General features: G+C 41.1%; 1 protein-coding gene across 3 annotated transcripts in view, besides 6 other annotated features; it reads left to right on the forward strand.

The window, feature by feature from the left end:
• Positions 1–17,918, forward strand: part of FBXO28 (F-box protein 28) — a 47,937-nt gene extending 30,019 nt beyond the window's left edge. For 2 of the 3 annotated variants that reach the window (NR_049764.2, NM_015176.4), the window contains 2 exons: positions 9,013–9,208; positions 13,223–17,918. Coding sequence is in view for 2 of the 3 variants with exons in the window: in NM_015176.4 (NP_055991.1) it covers positions 9,013–9,208; positions 13,223–13,617 (591 nt within the window). In the remaining variant the exon portion in view is untranslated. The remainder of the gene's footprint in view (positions 1–9,012; positions 9,209–13,222) is intronic. The other variant, NM_001136115.3, reaches the window with a different exon arrangement.
• Positions 1,262–1,763: an enhancer, noted in NCBI's record as "H3K27ac hESC enhancer chr1:224333093-224333594 (GRCh37/hg19 assembly coordinates)". NCBI's record gives its function as "activates a minimal SCP1, AML or CMV promoter by ChIP-STARR-seq in naive H9 embryonic stem cells {active_cell/tissue: H9 hESC(naive)}" and the evidence as "EXISTENCE:reporter gene assay evidence [ECO:0000049][PMID:30033119]".
• Positions 9,954–10,455: an enhancer, noted in NCBI's record as "H3K4me1 hESC enhancer chr1:224341785-224342286 (GRCh37/hg19 assembly coordinates)". NCBI's record gives its function as "activates a minimal SCP1, AML or CMV promoter by ChIP-STARR-seq in primed H9 embryonic stem cells {active_cell/tissue: H9 hESC(primed)}" and the evidence as "EXISTENCE:reporter gene assay evidence [ECO:0000049][PMID:30033119]".
• Positions 10,456–10,955: an enhancer, noted in NCBI's record as "H3K4me1 hESC enhancer chr1:224342287-224342786 (GRCh37/hg19 assembly coordinates)". NCBI's record gives its function as "activates a minimal SCP1, AML or CMV promoter by ChIP-STARR-seq in primed H9 embryonic stem cells {active_cell/tissue: H9 hESC(primed)}" and the evidence as "EXISTENCE:reporter gene assay evidence [ECO:0000049][PMID:30033119]".
• Positions 16,218–16,512: an enhancer, noted in NCBI's record as "tiled region #12248; K562 Activating DNase matched - State 5:Enh". NCBI's record gives its function as "activates a minimal TATA promoter and a strong SV40 promoter by Sharpr-MPRA in K562 cells {active_cell/tissue: K562}" and the evidence as "EXISTENCE:reporter gene assay evidence [ECO:0000049][PMID:27701403]".
• Positions 16,218–16,512: a silencer, noted in NCBI's record as "tiled region #12248; HepG2 Repressive non-DNase unmatched - State 15:Elon". NCBI's record gives its function as "weakly represses a minimal TATA promoter and a strong SV40 promoter by Sharpr-MPRA in HepG2 cells {active_cell/tissue: HepG2}" and the evidence as "EXISTENCE:reporter gene assay evidence [ECO:0000049][PMID:27701403]".
• Positions 18,283–18,783: an enhancer, noted in NCBI's record as "H3K27ac hESC enhancer chr1:224350114-224350614 (GRCh37/hg19 assembly coordinates)". NCBI's record gives its function as "activates a minimal SCP1, AML or CMV promoter by ChIP-STARR-seq in naive H9 embryonic stem cells {active_cell/tissue: H9 hESC(naive)}" and the evidence as "EXISTENCE:reporter gene assay evidence [ECO:0000049][PMID:30033119]".

The following is a 23,096-nucleotide window of genomic DNA, read 5'->3' on the forward strand; positions in this document are numbered from 1 at the left end:
GGAAACAGAATGAAACTATGTCTCAAAAAAAAAAAAAAGGAATGAATGAATGGGCCAGGTGTGGTGGTTCATGCTTGTAATCCCAGCACTTTGGGAGGCCAAGATAGGAGGATCACTTGAGACCAGGAATTCAAGACCAGCCTGAGCAACATAGGGAGACCTCGTCTCTACAGAAAAAAAAAATTGCCAGGCATGGTGGCACACACCTATGGTCACAGCTACACAGGAGACTGAAGTGAGAGGATCGCTTTAGCCCAGGAGGTCAGGGCTGCAGCGAGATGTGGTCATGCCACTGCACTCCAGCCTGGGCAACAGGGCGAAGACCCTGTCTCAAAAAAAAACAAAAAAGGCTAGGTGCAGTGACTCACACCTATGATTTCAGCACTTTGGGAGGCGGAGGTGTGTGGATCACGAGGTCAAGAGATCGGGACCATCCTGGCCAACATGGTGAAACCCCATCTCTACTAAAAATACCAAAATTAGCTGGGCGTGGGTGTGTGTGCCTGTAGTCCCAGCTACTTGGGAGGCTGAGGCAGGAGACTCACTTGATCTGGGAGGTGGGGGTTGCAGTGAGCCGAGATCGTGCCACCACTGCACTCCAGCCTGGTGACAGAGCAAGACTCCATCTCAAAAAACAAAAAACAAGCCCTCCTATTTGTTATTGTTTCTGAACTACATGTTGGTAGGAGGTGCTCCTTAAAATTTTTGCTTTACAAACATGTATTCCCTGAAGTAACCCACCACCATGATGACTGCCATAGCTCACTGATTGACCAAAAATTGGATACATTATCTTGTTTTTATTAATCTTTCTTAAATGTGTGTATAGTTCACATTTATTTCAGTGTTTGATATTAGAAGTGTTTTAGGGGCCGGGCGCGGTGGCTCACACCTATAATCCTAGCACTTTGGGAGGCTGAGTCGAGTGGATCGCTTGAGGTCAGGCGTTCAAGACCAGCCTGGCCAACATGGTGAAACCCCATCTCTACTAAAAAATAGATAAATAAATACTAAAATTAGCCGGGCGTGATGGCGGGCATCTGTAGTTCCAGCTACTCGGAGGCTGAGGCAGGAGAATCGCTTGAACCAGGGAGGCAGAGGTTTCAGTGAGCTGAGATCGCGCCACTGCACTCCAGCCTGGGCAACAGAGCAAGACTACATCTCAAAAAAAAAAAAAAAAAAAAAGGAAGTGTTTTAGGTCTTTATTTAGAGGTTTGGTGGTTTTCATGACCAGAACTATGCCTTAGGAACTTAACACTTGTTTATATTAATTAGCCTATGATAAAATTGGTTTCATTACATGTCATTTCACTTAAAGTCGGGATTTTCAAGAACCTATCAACATTAAAATGAGGACTTCTGTATAATATAGTAAATACTAGGCGATGGGAATTTTCCAACTCCATTATAATCTTACAGGATGACCCTCATATATGGTTTGTCATTGACCATAACATCATGATGCAGCACATAACCGTATTCAAACAAACATGCCATATAAAGAATATTGAGGCCAGGCCTGGTAGCTCATGCCTGTAATCCCAGCACTTTGGAAGGCTGATGCGGGCAGATCACCTGAGGTCATGAGTTCGAGACCAGCCTGGCCAACATGGTGAAACTCCACCTCTACTAAAAGTACAAAAATTATCCGGGCATGGGCCAGGCGCAGTGACTCACACCTGTAATCCCAGCACTTGGAAGGCCAAGGCAGGTGGATCACCAGAGGTCGGGAGTTTGAGACCAGCCTGACCAACATGGAGAAACCCATCGCTACTAAAAATACAAAATTGTCCAGGTGTGGTGGTGCAAGCGTGTAATCCCAGCTACTCAGGAGGCTGAGGCAGGAGAACTGCTTGTATCCGGGAGGTGGAGGTTGCGGTGAGCTGAGATTGTGGCATTGCCCTCCAGCCTGGGCAACAATAGCGAAACTCCTTCTCAAAAAAAAAAAAAAAAAATTATCCGGGCGTGGTGGCACACGCCTGTATTCCCAGCTACTCAGGAGGCTGAGGTAGGAGGATCACTTGAACCTGGGAAGCGGAGGTTGCAGTGAGCCGGGATCACACCATCACACTCCAGCCTGGGCGATAGAGTGAGACTGTCTTCAAAAAAAAAAAAATTAAAAATAATATTTAGAAAATTTTAGATGCACTTAGGTTTTTTAAATATGGAGGAAATTTTTTTAAAAAATAAAAGGGGTAGAAGGGAAAGTTAAGGAAATCTCAAGTACAACAAAAAGACAGATGAAAAATGAGAAAAAAATGAGCATTTATGAGGTTCAGTATTCTAGCAGGAGCTTTGTTTGCTAAACAGTAGATTAAAAAATTATTTCTCACCCACAGTCTAAAGGCCTAAATGATATTCATCGTATATAATTTGTTACTGTACCATTTTAGACATAAGCGTGGTACTTCTACTGTGTGTTAGAAATGTGATGGTGTACTTTTTAATTTTTGTAGAGACTGTTTCTAGCTATGTTGCTCTTGAACTCCTGCCTCCCTTGGCCTCTCAAAGTGCTGAGATTACAGGCATAAGCCACCAGCCACAGCCTGTACTGTACTTTTATAAAACTAAAATTTTTTTTTTTTTTTTTTTTTGGGAGACTGAGTCTTGCTGTGTCGCCCAGGCTGGAGTGCAGTGGCACGATCTGGGTTTGCTGCAACCTCTGCCTCCCAGGTTCAAGCGATTCTTCTGCCTCAGCCTCCCGAGTAGCTGGGACTATAGGCACGTGCCACCATGCATGGCTAATTTTTGTATTTTTAGTAGAGACAGGGTTTCACCATATTGGCCAGGCTGGTCTCGAACTCCTGACCTCGTAATCCGCCCTCCTTGGCCTCCCAAAGTGCTGGGATTACAGGCGTGAGCCACCGTGCCTGGCCAAAAATATTTTTTATAACCTGTAGTCAGCTCTGTATTCGTGGGTTCCACATTCATGGATTCAACCAACCGTGGATAGAAAATATTTAGTGAGACTCTGTCAAAAAATATATATGTATATTTAGAGAAGAAAAACAATTGCCGGATGCGGTGGCTCACGCCTATAATCCCAGCACTTTGGCAGGCCGAGGCAGGCGGATCACAAGGTCAAGAGTTCAAGACCAGCCTGACCAATATGGTGAACCCGCATCTCTACTAAAAATACAAAAATTAGCTGGGCGTGGTGGCAAGCGCCTGTAGTCCCAGCTACTCGGGAGGCTGAGGCAGGAGAATCACTTGAACCCCGGAGGCAGAGGTTGCAGTGAGCCGAGATCATGCCACTGCACTCCAGCCTGGGCAACAGAGCGAGACTGTGTCAAAAAAAAAAAAAAGAGAAGAAAAACAATTTTTAAAACCACAGCTGTTTTTAAAATATGAATTTTAAAATAGTACAATGTAACTACTATTTACAAAGCTTTGACATGGTATTAGGTAGTGTAGGTAATCTAGAGGTGATCTAGGTTATATGCAAATACTATGCCATTTTATATAAAGGACTTGAGCACACACACATTTTGACAATGTGGTCCTGGACCCAAACCCCTGAGGATGCGGAGGGACTGACTATTTTACTTCTTACAGCCTGGGTAAGGTTCAACATGTGGTATATCATTTGAAAGGTGTAGAAACAGCCATTAAGAGTTTAAGTGACCTTCCTAAGGCCTGTGGTCTTTCCACTAGACCTCAAAACTCATACCATTACATTCTCGTTAATGTAATTTGCAAAAAAAAAAAAAAAAAAAGATTAAATCTACTCAGAAAATGAACTGTTTTGAAAATTTGTTAAATACCTTGCTTTCTTAATATATACCTCTAAAGCCATGGCAGCCACTTAAAACTCTGAATGGTAGAAGCAGTATGGTTCTCACACACATACTTTCCTTCACCTTATCCTCTGCTTAAAGCTTTTGGACAAAGAAAAGAAACTATTTTGAATTTTATTGAAAACATAGATTATCCCATTTGACTAAAATAATCTCTATACAGTAAGATTTTTAAATGTTCTTTTTTAATGGAAGACTGGGGCAAATGGAAAGAGTGAACTTGCTTTTACACTACATTTAGAAGACTACAGTAAAGATAATATTTCACAAATTGTAGATGTATTTTCACATTACTTTTAATGGCAAAACCACAGTTACTTTGGAACCGATCTAATAATTTACTGTCAGTTAGCAATCCCTGTAGGATATTTTGATAATGAAAGTTATTCTGAAGAATAAGTATCATGGAAAAAGACTAATTGTATAATATATGTTAAGAAACGGCCAGGCACGGTGGCTCACGCCTGCAATCCCAGCTCTTTGGGAGGCCGAGGCAGGCGGATCATGAGGTCAGGAGATCAAGACCATCCTGCCTAACACGGTGAAACCCTGTCTCTACTAAAAATACAAAAAAAAGAGAAAAAAATTCGCCAGGTGTGGTGGCGGGTGCCTGTAGTCCCAGCTACTCGGGAGGCTGAGGCAGGAGAATGTCGTGAACCTGGGAGGCAGAGCTTGCAGTGAGCCAAGATCGCACCACCGCACTCCAGCCTGGGCGACAGAGCAAGACTCCGTCTCAAAAAAAGAAAAAAAAAAAGAAAAGAAACACCCTAGAATAAATGCTTGGTACATGATAGTACTGCATAACTACTGTATAAATGTTGAATTGCTATCCTATCACCTATCCATCCACATCATCCCTGTGCTCAACTCCACACTGTTTAGCCAGGTGTACCTTCCTCCTGCTCTAACTTCCCTTACCTGTTGAAATTTACTTACTAATGTCCTTCATTAGACCTACCCAGTTCTCTCAACTGGATCTTAATCTCTACTCTGTTTTCACACAGCACTTTGCTTATACATTGAACTTATTACAGTCTGAGTTTTGCTTTGCTGTTTATGGGTCTTTCATGGAGTCATGTTTCACTGGATAGGATCTGTGTCTTATGCCTATACCATTACAACAGTCCTATTCTAGCCCAAATACACTATAAATATTCTTCTGTCTACCAGTATTTATAAACATATAATATCTAGAGGTATATTAATAAGGCTGTGGGTATTTTATTAAACATATAAGTACTATTTTAAGTATTCTATATTTTTACAAGTCCGTCTCAATAGAGATCTTGTTTACAATGACCTTTGTGTTCAAAACATAATCATCTGACTTCTGAAAAACCATATAATCTTTTTTTTTTTTTTTTTGAGACAGTCTTGCCCCATCACCTGGACTGATCACAGCTCATGGGACTATAGGCATGCGCACAGCTAATTTTTTAATTTTTTGTAGAGACAGAGCTCACAGTGTTGCCCAGGCTGGTCTCAAACTCCTGTCCCTAGACAGTCTTCCCACCTCGGCCTCCCAAAGTGCTGGCACCGTAGGTATGAGCCACCACGCCCAGCCAAAAAACAAATTCTTGTGTTGAATTAACCCTTTCATTTGCCCTTAAACAGTTTTGTTTAGATGTATCAATTAATGTTAAACAATTAATATACTTAACCATCTTTACCCCTTATTTACTGAGTATCTGCCATGTGCCAGATGCTGCTAGGCTCTGGGGATCTGACAGTGAAACATGGTATGATCTCTTCTGTCATAGAGTTTACTACATTATATGGAAGATAGAAATTAACAAAAAGATGTACTTACAAATTGTAATGTGTGTTCTGAAGGGGAATAAAGGGTTGGATGAAGATGTTAACATGATTTAAATTGGAGGAGGGTTCAGAAAAGACTTCTGAGAAAGTACAGTGTTACTGTGACCTCGTGTATAACTAAGGAATTTGAAGTGAGGGAGATACACAGGGATGGCATTCCAGGAAAGGGATCAGCATGTGCAAAAGCCCTGGGGCAAAAAGGTGGGGAACTTGATTTAGTTCAAAGGGCTGATGGCCAGTTTGTATCTATAGATGCAACATATTAGCCTTTGGGGACAACATTTAAAAATTATGGAAGGCCAGGTGCAGTGGCTTATGCCTGTAATCCCAGCACTTTGGGAGGCCAAGGCAGGCAGATCACCTGAGGTCAGGAGTTTGAGACCAGCCTGGCCAACATGGTGAAACCCTGTCTCTACTAAAAATACAAAAATTAGCCAGGCTTGGTGGTGGGTGCCTGTAATCCCAGCTACTTGGGAGGCTGAGGCAGGAGAATTGCTTGAACCCAGGAGGTGGAGGTTACAGTGAACCAATACCATGTCATTTCCAGCCTGGGCAACAAGAGCGAAGCTCCGTCTGAAAAAATTATGGAGTACTGTGGTACTTTTCCTATATATAACCCATATGTAAAACGTTGATAAACACAAAACTACTATGGGTCAATTAATATCCTAGCACTATACATAAAATATCAGTCAGTATGAAGGACCCTTTAAATACTGATTTTCTACTTTGGTTTATATTTTTAATTTTATTAACTATTTCTTGATTATGTATAAATATTATATAACTTTTAAGCTTTGAGTAGCTAGCTTCCACAAATATTTACTCTTTGGAGATATACATGTATATATAAAATTTGTCTATTTCTAGTCCTTGAACTCCTTGAACAAGCCAAGCTGACACTGACCTTGGGGCCACTATCATTACTATTTCTACCTGAAAGACTTTTCTCCCCATATCTTCAATTGATCAGTTCTTCCTCATCCTTCAGTCTTACCTTACAAATGGCAAAGAATCCTTTCCCAACCACCCATCTCATGTTATTCCTGCCTTTCCTGATAGAAACTGTCACATTACCCTCTTTTTTCCATGTGGCACTCCTTTAAATTATTTTCCTGTTTAGCTTCATGAGAATGATAATCTTGTCATCCTTATTTACTGTTTTTTACTCCAGTACTTTGAAAAGTGACAAGTACATAGTAAGAACTCAATACTTGAATAATGTTTATCTTACAAGTTATGATAGGCTTACGTAATTAAATTGTAAGTCCAAGGGAAAGTACTCCATTTTTCATTTCTTTGTATATATAGTTCCTAACATAGTAGTTCAGTAAGTTTTTATTGGGGAAAGGGGTTATCTTCTTCTAAAGTGAGCTCGTAATATAGTAATATTGCCAGAAATAAATATGTTTTCTCCTTTGGCAATCAGCCATCATCCAAAATTCCTCTCCTGAACTCCCATCCTGTATCTCAAGCCACCTGCTAGCAAATATCACCTACATGTCCCATGTGATTCAAAATCACACATCTCATCTCCCATTGCATCTGCCTACGTACACCACCTCAGCCCAAGCCATTTCCTGTTCAGTTCTCCAAGCCCACAAACCTGGCCTCTCCTATGATGTCTTCTCAGGCTTATGATAAGGATACATCCTAAGGTTAGATTTTGCTGACATTTATTAAGCATACATCATGCTCCATTAACAATGATCATCATATTATGCTGAGAGTCTAGAAAATGTGAAGGGCTGTGAATTTGTCCTGATACGATTCTGCAAGATTGTTTCTCTGGCTGTGCTCAGCAGCCTAAATAAGTAAAGGAGAAGGGAAGATGGATTATAAGATTGATCCAGAGTTGGGAGCAAGCTAGATAAATGCAGTGGGAGGAATATGTGGGATGCCAGGTTGTTTGAGATTTTGGTGACAGAATGGTTTGGTTGATTAACCCTCAGTTCTTACGAGGTTAAGGGCCCATAGATGTCATCCAGATTGGGGTCTTTAGAAGTAGGAATTTTAGGTCGGGCATGGTGGCTCACACCTGTAATCCCAGCACTTTGGGAGGCCAAGGAGGGTGGATCACCTAAAGTTAGGAGTTCAAGACCAGCCTGGCCAACACGGTGAAACCCTGTCTCTACTAAAAATACAAAATTAGCCAGGTGTGGTGGCACATGTCTGTAATCCCAGCTACTTGGGAGGCTGAGGCAGGAGAATCACTTGAACCCTGCGGTTGGAGATGACAGTGAGCCAGGATTGTGCCACTGCACTCCAGCCTGGACAACACAGTGAGACTCCATCTTAAAAAAAAAAAAAGGAATTTTATCTTCAGGTCTATTCTGAAGCCACAGGGAAGAATTAAGGATAACCTCACCGAGATGAAAGCTAATATCACAAATGCCTAAGGAAGGTTCACTTACTGTTCCAGCAAGAGAGTTAGGTGTTCTCCCCATTACAATTATCATTAAAACAAAAAAGGATCTTCTGCTACCTTTTGGTGGTGACAAGGAAGTGACAAGACTTCATTCCAATCCGTAACAAGTCTCAGAGAAACAAAACTTAAAGGGATAGAGCACATGGGGGCAGTATTAAAAAGAGCAGAGAAATCAGGCTGAGTCCCTGCAGCTTAGGGGAACAGATTCAGGTTTGGAGGATTAATAAAATGGGTTTGGGCAATCTCCAACCCTACCCAGCTCCCATACAGGATTTAATTTCTTAGTTTAGTCCTCTAGTGTCTATAGCAATTTGTATACCTGTTTGTATCACTTATGTACACACATATCTCCCCAGTTACACTGTGATTTCCTTCAGGGTTAGAAGCTTTATTTTATTCATCCTGATTCCTCAGTCCCAACATAGTACCTGATACATAAAAGGTGCTTAATAAATGCAAGTATGAAGTATGTAACAGGCCGGGCACAGTGGTTCACACCTGTAATCTTTGCACTTTGGGAGGCCGAGGTGGGTGGATCCTGAGGTCAAGAGTTTGAGACCAACCTGGACAACATGATGAAACCCATCTCTACTAAAAATACAAAAAATTAGCCACGCGTGATGGCGGGCAACTGTAATCCCAGCTACTTAGGAGGCTGAGGCAGAGAATTGCTTGAACCCAAGAGGCAGAGGTTGCAATGAGCTGAGATCGCACCACTGCACCCAGCTTGGGCAACGAGTGAAACTCTGTCTCAAAAAAAAAAAAAAAAAAAAAAAAAAAAGTACTGTAACAAGTCCAAAAGCCATGTGTTGTAAATAGCAATATTCATCAGTGGCCAGTACATCACTTAAATCACCCTACAGGTCTTTACTGGAATTGCAAAACAAGCAGTTACTTCTCTGCCTGTTTAGCTATTTTCTTTATTAAAAAAGAAAAATCTAAAGTGCTAATGAGAATTCATTATTTTAGGTGATTGATGAGATTTATCGTGTGTTGAGATATGTCAATTCTACCAGAGCCCCTCAACGAGCTCATGAAGTACTTCAAGAATTAAGGGATATATCCTCTATGGCAATGGAGTACTTTGATGAAAAGATTGTTCCAATTTTAAAGAGGAAATTACCAGGATCAGATGTTTCTGGAAGACTCATGGGCTCTCCTCCAGGTATCTCTACTTTATAATCATGCTTGTACATAATTTTGTAACTTGCTTCCGGTTTTTTTCCACTTAACCAGTGTCTTGAACTTTTCTGTGTTAGTAGTTGTTTATTGGCAGCATCATTTTTAATGAGATTGGATTATCAACCATAACTTACACAACTAATCCACTAGTTAGGCTCATTTCTTGTTTCTAGCTTTTCAGTACTTATACTCTGAAGAACAATCTGAGCGGTCTTGCGACTAAATCTTTGCACATATCCATATTGACTTACAATAAACTTATTAGAAATAGAATAGCTGGGCCCGGCCAGGCGCAGTGGGTCACACCTGTAATCCCAGCACTTTGGGAGGGCAAAGTGGGTGGATCACCTGAGGTCGGTAGTTCAAGACCACCCTGGCCAACATGGTGAAACCCCGTATCTACTAAAAATACAAAAATGTGCTGGGCATGGTGGCGCACACCTGTAATCCTAGCTACTCTGGAGGCTGAGGCAGGAGAACCGCTTGAACCTGGGAGGCAGAGGTTGCAGTGAGCCAGATTCGCGCCATTGCACTCCAGCCTGAGCAACAAGAGCGAAACTCCATCTCAAAAAAAAAAAAAAGAAATAGGATTGCTGGACCAGGCGCAGTGGCCCACGCCTGTGGTCCCAGCACTTTGGGAGACTGAGGCGGGAGGATCGTTTCAGCCCAGGAGTTCAAGGTGAAAAGTTACATACAGATGCTCCTTAATTTACAATGGGGTTACATCCTGATAAACCCATCATAAGTAGAAAATATTGTAAGTCAAAAAATGCACTTAATACACGAACCTACCGAACATCATAGCTTAGCCTAACCTACCTTAAACATGCTCAGAACACTTCCTTAGCTTACAGTTGGGCAAAATTATCTAGCAAAGCCTATTTTATAATAAAGCATCCTTGTGTAATTTACTGAATTCATTTTCTATTGTACTGAAAGTGAAAAACGGAATGGTTCTGTGGATACCTGAAGTACAATTTCTACTAAATGTCTATCACTTCCATACCATTGTAAAGTCAAAAAATCATTAAGTTGGCTGGGCGCGGTGGCTCATGCCTATAATCCCAGAACTTTGGGAGGCCGAGGCGGGCCGATCACCTGAGGTCAGGAGTTCAAGACCAGCCTGGCCAACATGGTAAAACCGTGTCTCTACTAAAAAATACCAAAAAATTGGCCGGGCGCGGTGGCTCATGCCTGTAATCCCAGCACTTTGGGAGGCCAAGGCGGGCGGATCACGAGGTCAGGAGATGGAGACCATCCTGGCTAACATGGTGAAACCCCGTCTCTACTAAAAATACAAAAAATTAGCTGGGCGCGGTGGTGGGTGTCTGTAGTTCCAGCTACTCAGGAGGCTGAGGCAGGAGAATGGCATGAACCCAGGAGGCGGAGCTTGCAGTGAGCCGAGATTGATCGTGCCACTGCACTCCAGCCTGGGTGACAGTGCGAGACTCCGTCTCAAAAAAAAAAAAAAAAATTAGCCAAGCGTGGTGACGCATGTCTGTAGTCCCAGCTACTAGGGAGGCTGAGGCATGAGAGTTACTTGAACCCAAGAGGCGGAGGTTGCGGTGAGCCAAGATCACGCCACTGCACTCCAGCCTGGGCAACAGAGTGAGACTCCGTCTCAAAAAAAAAAAAAAATCATTAAGTTAAACCATTGTAATTTGAGGACCATCTGTATTTTTTTATGTTTCTGATGAATTAATATTCATTTTTTAAAAAACAAATATACCAGATAAAATGCCAAAAACTCTTCAGGGACATATTTGGTGAATTATTTCAGCCCCCAAAGTGTCTGCCTGCTACTTTATTTTTTATTTTTTATTTTTTTTGAGATGGAGTCTCACTCTGTCGCCCAGGCTGGAGTGCAATGGCGTGATCTCTGCTCACTGCAACGTCCGCCTCCCAAGTTCAAGCAATTCTCCCGCCTCAGCCTCCTGAGTAGCTGGGATTACAGGCGTGTGCCACCACGCCTGGCTAATTTTTGTATTTTTTAGTAGAAACAGGGTTTCACCATGTTGTTCAGGCTGGTCTTGAACTCCTGACCTCGTGATCCACCTGCCTCGGCCTCCCAAAGTGCTGGGATTACAGGCATGAGCCACCACACCCGGCTGCTACTTTAAAAGAAAGGGTTCATAAGGCTATTTTGAACAGTATCACTTCATCTGTGCTAAATAACTGTTTTTGCAAAAGTATATTGGCTCCTAGAGATTTGTGCCTTTATCTACTGAAAGACTAAATTATTTAATGTCCCTAACTCTGGCAAGTACTTTAAATTAGGAAAGAATTTAGTAAAACTTTTTGTTTTGTTCAGATTAGTTAGCTCCCTGTAGTACTCAGTGAGGCAACCGAGTGGCTTTCTGTAATTGAGTAATAAAGCCTACACATCTCAGCATTAATGTATCTGTTATTTATTGAGTACCTATTATGCGCACAGCACTGTACTGTGTCCTGTGGAGACTAAAAAGAAGTGTAATACGTGGTGTCTGCTCTCAAGGATCTTACTATTTCAAAAGGTAAGATATACCCAGACTTGAAGTTAAATAAATTATCATAGGCAAAACAAATAAGGCAATGTCCAATTAAATGTCAAATGAGAGCAGAGAAACAATTTTAAGGTAGATAAGATCAGTGTTGGCTGGTCTGATGGAAACATCACAGGAAGTAACGATTGATTTAAGCCTTGGTGAATAAGTAGAAGTTGGATACGGATAAGCAGAGAGGGAAAGAAGAATGCATCCATAAAGGAAATACAGTTATTTAGATGTGCAAGGAGAAGATTAACATTATGGTTTAGGATATGAATGGACCCATCTGGTTCTTTTAGAAAACCTTCAGTAGATAAGTTTAAAAGAAAGTAGGTTCTTTGTTTAAAATAGTTATTTTTATGCTTGTGTTACATTCTAATTATTCCTAAAAGAATAGGTCCAAGGCCTTCCTACACCATGTCAGGAATTCTCTGTGGTCATAATGTATGATGTAACCCACTGTTTAGTGGAGTCCCTATCATTTGGCTAAAGTTGAAGCCTTTGTATATAACTTAAGTGCAGAGTGAACTTAAGAACACGATACAGGCTGAGTATCCCTTATCCGAATTTCTTAGGACCAGAAGTGTTTCAGATTTCGGCTTTTTTTCAGATTTTGGAACATTTGCATTACACTTACTGGCTGCACAATCTCTTATCCGCATACCCACATTCCAAAATGCTCCAATGAGCATTTCCTTGAGCATCATGTTGGTGCTCAAGAAGTTGCAGATTTTGGATTTCAGATTTCTGGATTAGAAACGTGCAACCTGTAGGTGTGTACTTCTAACTTGAAAGTTTATGTTTGTTATGTGAATTAGATAGAAAATAATTATTTTCTGACCGGGCGCAGTGGCTCACGCCTGTAATCCCAGCACTTCGGGAGGCCGAGGCAGGCAGATCATGAGGTCAGGAGATCCACACCATCCTGGCTAACATGGTGAAACCCCATCTCTACTAAAAATACGAAAAGAAATTAGCCAGGCGTGGTGGCGGGTGCCTGTAGTCCCAGCTACTTGGGAGGCTGAGGCAGGAGAATGGCGTGAACCCAGGAGGCGGAGCTTGCAGTGAGCCGAGATCACGCCACTGCACTCCAGCCTGGGCAATAGAGTGAGACTCTGTCTCAAAAAAAAAAAAAAATTATTATTTTCTAATTTTACTGCTTGTATTTTGTTACTAGGTTCTAAAAATATTGTACAGTATTTTAAATTCAAGTTTATGCCATTAAATGCCCTTCTCCGTTTCCTGGCAGTCTACATACTGCCACATGAGCAGGAGAATCAGAATTTAAACTCATTTATAGTTAAAATAAGGTGTTAAATTATGATGATTAACCCAACTGACCAAATGGATTGCAAAGAAGAAGAAATTATCAGAAGTGACATAGTAAGGGTATTCCATTTTTAAATAAGTGTAAGTATTACTGGTAGAGAGACATTTTAAGTGACTGACCCTTTTGAATTATTCCTCCACAGTTCCAGGACCGTCTGCAGCCCTAACAACAATGCAGCTCTTCTCCAAGCAAAATCCTTCAAGACAAGAGGTTACCAAACTCCAGCAGCAGGTTAAAACAAATGGTGCTGGCGTGACTGTTCTCAGGCGTGAAATTTCTGAGCTTCGCACCAAAGTGCAAGAACAGCAAAAACAGCTTCAAGACCAGGACCAGAAACTGCTAGAGCAGACCCAGATCATAGGTGAACAAAATGCACGGTTGGCAGAGCTAGAACGCAAACTACGAGAAGTAATGGAAAGTGCTGTAGGAAATTCCTCAGGGTCCGGGCAGAATGAGGAGTCTCCTCGGAAACGAAAAAAGGCCACGGAAGCCATAGACTCTCTTAGGAAATCTAAACGTCTTCGGAATAGAAAGTAAATTGGAATGTGGTTCTAGTTCCAGAGGAAGACACAGCTTAGTAGCTTAAGCAGTTATGCATATCAGGATACTGTGAGCAACATGGTGTCCCTTAAGCTTCTAGGCTTTCAGAACACAACTTAAACTTGAACTCTTATGGTTGGGACATTCTTTTCCTGCTTCTCCTGATTGAACTGATGCACAGAATCTTTTTACTTTGCAATAGATTTGTACTAACCAGACCTGTTCTATCATGTTTTGAGGAGTTAACTTTTTTCTGTGCAGATAATGTTGAAAGTAAGTTAATTTGTTTCTGCATATATGCACATACATACGTAAGGATCTTAAACCCAGTCTTGACAGACTAGAAGTTAAGTTTAATACAGAAAATGTCCTGTTCACTTGAAAGAAAAGACCTACTTTTTAAATGGACACTATCTTGGTTCTTTTTTTTTTAAGTCATCTTTTTGTTATAAGTGACCTTTGTCTGGAATGTCTGAAAAGTAGTTAATGCTTTTTGGTATTGAAGTAATGGGTAACTAAAATGGACTTCCATAGTATTGACTGTAGAAGGAGCCTCTACAATATTGACTATATATTTTTATAAACTACTGGCAAGGAACTTACCCAGCTGTTATACATGTTTTCAGTTCTCTTTGGGGGCCATGTCCTACATTTGCATGGATGGATGCATGCATTGCCTAGTCAACTCACTTAAAAAGCTCTTGCACTGGTATTGATCTTGAACCTCTATACTTCTCCACTTTTTAGAGCGGCGTCTTAGTTTATTTAAACGCTTAACATCTTCCACCGCAACAGCTTGCCTCTAGAGGGGGAATTGTTCATCCATTTGTCCTCCAGTTTTATAGGAACAAGAGACTATTAAAGCCCATTGCTTTATCTGCTCTCTGTAGGGTTCAGGTACACTGGCTAAGGCAGAACCCCAAATTTCAAGGCTCTTTCTATCAATATTGGACCTCTGGGAGCTAATACTCCTCTTTGCTCACCACCATGTGATCATTGATCAGATGTGGTGAGTGAGTAGGGGACTCGACTTGCGGGATGCAGTTTTGCCATTGCAGCAAAGTTCATTGAGGAAAATTGTACCATGAAAAAGCATTTTGATTATTTCATTTCTGGAGGATGACCTTGAGGGAAGCTTTTTAATATTAGTTTCAAGCTTTCCTTACCCTACAACTTTAAACAAAAGCTTTAATTTTGTTTGCACTCCTATTTTGAGCTTGTAACTGGAAAAGCATGTCTTGCACTGTTCAACCTCCTGAGTGGTCGCTTTAACAACCTCCAAATTGTGTACAGTGGTTATTTTCCCCAGTTGTATAGTTTTGAGACATTCAATTATCACTGTCTTAGTTGTATTTTAATTTACTAAATTATGTAGCTATTTGACTGTTAAGTTCTTTTAAACAACTGTTTCCTTGGGCTTCAGTTATTTAAAGTAAATTTAGGTGTAATATAGAAAACTGTCCCTTTCCAGGTGGGAGCTTAACACCTGTATAAAACCTAAGGTTTTGGTAAGTACCTTAGTTGAATAAAAGCACAAGGTTATCACCTTTTTTATCCGTCCACCGTGACATGGTTATGCATCCTTTAGATTAACCTCACCAAATGAAGCTTTTTCTATCCATTTTTAATATTGTCCTTACATAATATTGTCCTTAGATTTTGATCAATTCTATGTCTGACTTTGAAATTCCATTTACAATGTAGTATGTTTTCAATGAAAAACCATAAAGTAACATCCAAGTGTTTCATGGTTTGTTGGGAAGGTAATTTTAAAATAAAACAATTTCCAAAAAACATTTGTCAGCCAAGGTCATCCATAAAAGTCCCCGTCTGGAACTCGTTTTCTCAGCACTTCTCATTTTTATAATCATAGTATTTAGCCATATTAGCATATCTTTAGAGGAGGCCTGGTGGAATACCCGGGGCCTCTACTAGTCTGCTTTTCCGGTCATAGGAAGACTTTTTTTTTTACGTATCAAAGCATGTGTTTACAGATTTACAGAGTGTGATCCGTATGCATCAAAGGGATACAGCCCCAGACTGTTTCTTTAATGGTCATTCATGAACTATTAAAAATTTCCTGAATTTCTTTTTAAACTACATCTAGATAGCCTAAACATCTATGTAGTCTTCCATTAGTTAACATGTGTATAGGGCTTTCATAATAAGTAGTCACACTGTTACAAGGTAAATTTTCTATTACAAAATCCAAATTTCTATTGCATACACTTATAATCATCTATTCATAAAGCTAATTCATTGTACTTGTTAATGCATGAATGTTCCATGCAGTAGGAGAATAAAGCACTACAGTTCGGTTGTTCAAATCTTAAATCTTAGGCTATTTAGCTAAAACATGTTAGGATATTGCCTTCACCACTTGTTAGGACAGTTATTTGATAGCCATTATGCTTACCTATGGATAGCATAATGGTATTTAAGGTTCAACAAACCGCAGATTATTATGATCAGCTAGAACTGACATATGTTACAAGAAAACTGTAAATTAACCTCCTGAGAGAACCATTCTGCCCTGCATTTTAAGTCAGGTATTTAAATACTGCGTGTTGTTAATATTGCGTTGTCTTAGTGCAACATTTCTTAAAGTATTCCCGTTATCTTCCTTGGCTGTTTTTCAGAGGAGACGTCTCCATGTTAATGGGTCCTTCCCACATAGAAATGTATTCTGGTACAGCGCTGCACACATGGATAGCAATGTGAAAAGGCATGCCTAAGAGACAGAAACGGCTGACCTTACCCCACCCCAGCCGGATCCTCTGCTTATCTCCCACATGCACTTGGCTTAACTGGTTTTCACAGATTCTGAGGTTATAGAACCTGTTGTTTTTCAAACTCCTGTACAGAGCCTGGAAATAATGGAGCAAACGCAAATGTATTGAGAGTCATTATACTTTAAAATAGTTTTAAAGACTATTGGGGTACCATCAGGTCAAAAGCCACTGATTTGGGAAGCAATTTTTTTGCAAAACACTTTTTTTGGAGTACTGAACTTTACAGGGGCTTGCCTTAATCTCTATTTAGTAGTTTCAAGATATATGCGCAATTATTCTACGTGTTAAAAATGTTAAAATATTCTATGTAGCCCCAAAGGTGGGTAAAACAGTATAAGTAATGCCTAAATTAATAAGCTAAAAGGTGTCACTACAGCTGGATTTTTGAGAGAAAATGGACATAAAACTAGGCTATGTGTAATAAAAATAATGGCACCTTAAGATTGCACTATTTTATGCATTATTTTATATGCCATTTCATAGCCTGCACTTTAATCTCCAAAGAAACGATGTATGATGTCCCACTTGTTCCTTATTCTTAATAAACTTTTTCCTGAGACAGGGCACTTAATTCTATTTTACTATACTGAATTAGTTTCTTGGAGGTAGATTCATTTCTTGAGTTCTCTGTTTCCTTAGCCATAATATTTTCTAGGATCCGGGAACTCCCTATATTGTCTATTTCCAACATTATATAATTTTAATTTAATGTAATGTAAATCTCATACTTGGTGATCAGCACATTCTTATATCCTGCTCTAGCAATGAGTACCCATTTGTTACACTTACCAAACTCTCTAAAAACATATACTGTGAGTAAGATTTGAAGCCAGGAATAAAAGGCAGTCTGAAAGAAAACGTCCTATACGATGCAGTTGTTTGGAAATGGCTGATTTCTGATATGAAACCCAACTTGATACACTGTTTGGTTCTTTGACTTGGGATCTATCTGAATTGCTTTCACTAGTACACAAAAGGTTAAGTTAAAACTACTTTAAACTTGTATAGCCTGCCATCTGAGGTGAATTATTTTCAAAAAATACTAAATCTATGAACTGAGACTAGCAATTAGTTGGCTGCTCCCTACCATGATTTTACTTTTAATAGCAATACAGTTATATTGGTGATAAATATGACAGGCTTAAGTACTGCTGTCCTTTTGCATCTTCCTAAGCATCTTGGTTAAATTTCTGAAGTTTAAAAATTAGATCCAGATTTCTTCTGTTGTGTCTGAAGAGAACCATGACATTTAGAAGTATATTGGTAATCTATTAGGTCCATTGGCAAAGTATATTGGTCCATATTCAAACCTATTCCAAAAGGTTAGAAGTGTTTAAGATTCCTTTATTGTGGTACCATGTCTGTTTACCTATGCTTATGAGCAACAATAAATTACTAGTTTACCTTCTGGAATTTTAATTGTTATAACCGAATCAATTATTGGAAAGTGAAAAACACCTCCCGGTCACACAACAGGGTACGTAAATAAATGTGTTGTTACCAGTGCTACTTGTTTTCTTTGTATTTCATGCACAAAAGAATATGGAGCTCTATTGCTAACATACCATATTGATAGCTACTGTCTTTTGGAGCACTGTACTATGTGTTTTACAGATGTTACAGTGGTCCTCACAGCTACCTTATAAAGTAGGTTTTACTCTACGTGGGGAAGTTGAACTCAGGCTAAGCAACATGTCCACAGTGTTATGCAAGTAAGTGGCGTAAGTGGGATTTGACCCATGAGCTCTGAAGTTTATAAACTTGCTACTACACTACACTGCATCCTAGAAACCTGAGAACAATGAGACTCTGAACTTAATATAAGCAAGACCATCCCACACATCCACTAGAAGCAGTCAATGCCCAAATCACTAATGCTAACAGTAGTATATAGAACTGAGATCAAGAAAAGGCTGGGCTAGGCCGGGCACGGTGGCTCACACCTGTAATCCTAGCACTTTGGGAGGCCGAGGCGGGGCAGATCACAAGGTCAGGAGTTCGAGACCAGCCTGACCAACATGGTGAAACCTCATCTCTACTAAAAATACAAAAATTCGCCGGGCGTGATGGCAGGTGCCTCTAATCCCAGCTACTCGGGAGGGTGAGGCAGGAGAATTGCTTGAACCTGGGAGGCAGAGGTTGCAGTGAGCCAAGATTGTGCCACTGCACTCTAGCCTGGGTGACAGAGTGAGACTCCGTCTCAAAAAAAAAAAAAAAAAAGCTGGGCTTGGAGGAGGCAACTTTTAAGGTTATTTGCACACAAGGGGTTCACCCTAGGTGTACAAGTAAAAGAGAATGTTTAAAAGGCTTCCAGAACCTGTAATCTTAAAATCAGAGAAGTCCTGGCAGTAGATGTGCGCTAAGGCTACTGACATGTCTAAAGTCACCTTCTGGCCGGGTGCGGTAGCTCACACCTGTTACTGCAGCATTTTGGGAGGCCAAGGCGGGTGGGTCATTTGAGGCCAGGAGTTTGAGACCAGCCTGGCCAATGTGGCAAAACCCCTCTCTATTAAAAATACAAAAATTAGCCAGGCATGGTGTCGCACACCTGTAGTCTCAGCTACTAGGGAGGCTGAGGCATGAGATTCGCTTGAGCTGGGGAAGTGGAGCTTACAGCGAGCCGAGGTCACGCCACTGCACTCCAGCCTGGGCAACAGAGAAAGACTGTTTCAAAAAAGTCACCTTCCTGTATAATATATGCTGCTGGTCAGTAGAAAAGTAGCAACTACCAATTCTTTCACCCTGCGAGGGTGGGGTACTAGTTCTCTTTTCAAGACTACGTCCAGTTCCAAAACTAAATGGTTAGAATTTCAACAAAATAAAATTATATAAATCAGTTTAACCTGTTCCTTAAAGGTGTAACTGATAGGGAATTGCTGAAAACAATTCTCTGAAGAAGAGAAAACTTATCTAAGTTCTTTAACCCCAGCCTGTAGACAGCTTAAGATTTTCAGAAAAGAGATCACAGATAACTTTATACTGTGGGTGAGGGTGACAGCAGTGGTGTCAATTGTCCTAGCACCATTACTGCATTCTAGTCATCCAGATAGCCTAGAAAGATAAAGGTGGCTACTGTGTATCCCAGTCTTCAGAAGGTAGATGAGGGTGGAAATTTGAATTTTCATATTCTCCAGGTGGCTCAATTGCTGTGTAATAGATTCACGTTATTAGAAACCAAGGATCTTCACCAGTATTCTTGCTTTTTTGCTTTTCTTTAAAAACTTTTTTTAAAAGATCTCACCTGTATGAACTTTCCCATGTTAATTGCTGAACCAATTCTTACAGAATTCATTAAAGATGATGTTCTTTCCAAAAAGATGTATCTCAACTCGCTGGTATACATTCCTCTGGTTTTTTTGTTTGTTTGTATGGAGTCTCTGTCGCCCAGGCTGGAGTGCAGTGGCGTGATCTTGGCTCACTGCAACCTCCGCCTCCTGGGTTCAAGTGATCCTCCTGCCTCAGCTTCCCAAGTAGCTGGGATTACAGGCGTGCGCCACCATTCCCACCTAATTTTTGTATTTTTAGTAGAGATGGGGTTTCACCATGTTGGCCAGGCTGGTCTCGAACTCCCGACCTCAGGTGATATGCCCGCCTCGGCCTCCCAAAGTGCTGGGATTACAGGCGTGAGCCACCACACCCGGCCTACATCCCTCTGGTTTCTGATTAATCATTTCCTCAAAGCAAAATTAGAGTAAATCGTACACAGAAGAAATATGAGCAGTTGGGTGTTTGAGCAAAATGTACAACTGATAACTGGAAAGGAAATACAAATCAAAGATAAACTTCCCCTAATTCAATAAATTCTGTTCAAAGAGACGCAACTAAATAGCTTTCAACTTTCTCAGCTTTTGTGTTTTTAAACTCTTTTTTTCCTCTTGTCCTTTGGATTGTACAAAAGTCAAATTCAAATTAACTGATTTGTTAGGAATCTGTGATGCAGCAATGTAAATAGCAAAACTGACTCCAGAATACAACACCTAAGATATACTTTCCTGTGATAAGACAAGGGGAACATGCTTCCCTCCGCAAGGCCAAGCCAAAGAGAATTAGCTGGGGTGGGGTAAAGAAGAGAGGGCTAAACTGCTTGTTCTTTCTTTGGAGAGTTGGAGCAAGCTTACAAGAAAGTGCTCTTTAGATAAACAGTTTCTGTAACTCTACTGTAAGAGGACACTGCCTGTTACAGTGTAGCCCATGGATCAACAGCCTCAATCACCTAGGAGCTTCTGTGAAATGTAGAATCTCAGGCCCCATTCCAGAATCAAATCTGCATTTTAACAAGATCACCTGGTGATTAGTTTGCACATTAAAATTTGAGAAATGCCACTGTAAGGCACATTTGTCATTTTGAATCTAAATGCTAAACAACCCTTAGCTCCCTATATTTAGCAATAACAAAGAAAATGGAGAGAGAGAAGAGAGGAAGGAGAGTAAAAGGGAGGAGAAAGCAGGAAGAAAATACAAAAGTTAGTATTGGTCAGGGACAGTTCTTGAAACCAGTAGAGGTCATGACCATCAGCCATCCCAAACAGAAAACAGTTTCATCGCCTTTGGTGTCTTTTTTTTTTTTTTTTTTTTTTTGAGACGGAGTCTCCCTCTGTCGCCCAGGCTGGAGTGCAGTGGCGCGATTTCAGCTCACTGCAAGCTCCGCCTCCCAGGTTCACGCCATTCTCCTGCCTCAGCCTCCCGAGTAGCTGGGACTACAGGCGCCCACCACCTCGCCTGGCTAATTTTTTGTATTTTTAGTAGAGATGGGGTTTCACCACGTTAGCCAGGATGGTCTTGATCTCCTGACCTCGTGTTCCGCCCGCCTCTGCCTCCCAAAGTGCTGGGATTACAGGCTTGAGCCACCGTGCCCGGCCAGGAAATTTATATTACAATTCCCACCAGTATCAATCCAGTCACTATCATTTGAGAATAAAGAAATTATTTTTAAAAATACACTTTGGGAGGCCAGGGTGGGAGGATCGCTTGCATCTAGGAGTTCACGACCAGCCTGGGCAACATACCAAGACTTCGTCTCTACCAAAAACAAAAATTTTAAATTTAAAAATTAAAAAAAAAAAAATTAGCCAGGCTTGGTGGCATACACCTGTAGTCCCAACTACTTGGGAGGCTGAGAAAGGAGGATCGCTTGAGCCCAGGAGGTCAAGGCTGCAGCGAGCTGCCACTGCACTCAGCCTGAGTGACAGTAAGACCCTGTCTCAAAAAATAATAATAAAATATCCATCAATAGGAGACAGGGTTCATAAATTGGGATATATCCTTACAATAGAATACTAGGCACCAGTAAAAATAAGAAAATTATCTATATGCTAAGAAATATTTCTGGCCGGGCATGGTGGCCCATGCCTGTAATCCCAGCACTTTGGGAGGCCAAGGTGGGCAGATCACTTGAGGTCAGGAGTTCAAGACCAGCCTGGCCAACATGGTGAAACCCCATCTCTACTAAAAATACTAAAAGTAGCTGGGCATGGTGGTAGGTACCTGTAATTCCAGCTACTCGGGAGGCTGAGGCAGGAGAATCGCTTGAACCCGGGAGGCAAAGGTTGCAGTGAGCTGAGATCATGCCACTGCACTCCAGCCTGGGAGACAGAGCGAGACTACGTCTCAAAATGAAAAAAAAAAAAAAAAGGCCAGCGTGGTGGCTCATGCCTGTAATCCCAGCACTCTGGGAGACCGAGGTGGGTGGGTCACCTGAGGTCAGGAGTTTGAGGCCAGCCTGGCCAGTGTGGTGAAACCCTGTCTCTACTAAAAAATCCAAAAAGTAGCCAGGCATGGTGGCGTGTGTCTGTAATCTCAGCTACTCAGGAGGCTGAGGCAGGAGAATCACTTGAACCCAGGAGGTGGAGGTTGCAGTGAGCTGAGATTGTGCCACTGCACCCCAGCCTGGGAGACAGAGTGAGACTCTGTCTCTAAAAGAAAAAAATATATATGTATTTCCAAGACTGCTAAGGGAAATAACAAAATACAGAACAATATTACAGTATACTAACTTTTGTGAAAAATAAAGAGGGAAATAATATAGAGTCATGCTGAATAACCACATTTCAGTCAACAAGCAGCAGCATATTTTATGACAGTCCCATAAGATTATACTACCATATTTTTACTGCTTCTTTTCTATGTTTATGTGTTTAGATACACAAATACCACTGTGCTACAAGTGCCTACAGTATTCAGAACAGTAACATGCCATACAGTTTTGTAGTCTAGCATCAATAGGCTGTACCATATAGCCTAGGTGTATATAGTAGGCTAAACCATCTAGGTTTGTGTAAGTAAACTCTATTATATTCATACAACAAAATCACTTGATGCATTTCTGAGAGCACATCCCCATCTTTAAGCAGTTCATGACTGTACTGCTAAGTAGTGGCATGCATATGCATAAAGAAACTCTAGGCCGGGCACGGTGGATCATGCCTGTAATCCCAGCACTTTGGGAGGCTGAGGGGGGCAGATCACTTGAGGTCAGGAGTTTGAGACCAGCCTGGCCAACATGGCGAAATCCCACCTCTACTAAAAATACAAAAATTAGGCAGGCATGGTGGTCTGTGCCTGTAGTCCCAGATACTCAGGAGGCTGAGGCAGGAGGATCACTTGAATCTGGGAGTCAGAGGTTGCAGTGAGCTGAGATTACACCACTGCACTCCAGGCTGGGAGAAAGAGTGAGATTCCATGTCA

The sequence above is a fragment of the Homo sapiens genome, chromosome 1 (assembly GCF_000001405.40).
Source record: "Homo sapiens chromosome 1, GRCh38.p14 Primary Assembly".
Classification (NCBI taxonomy): domain Eukaryota; kingdom Metazoa; phylum Chordata; class Mammalia; order Primates; family Hominidae; genus Homo; species Homo sapiens.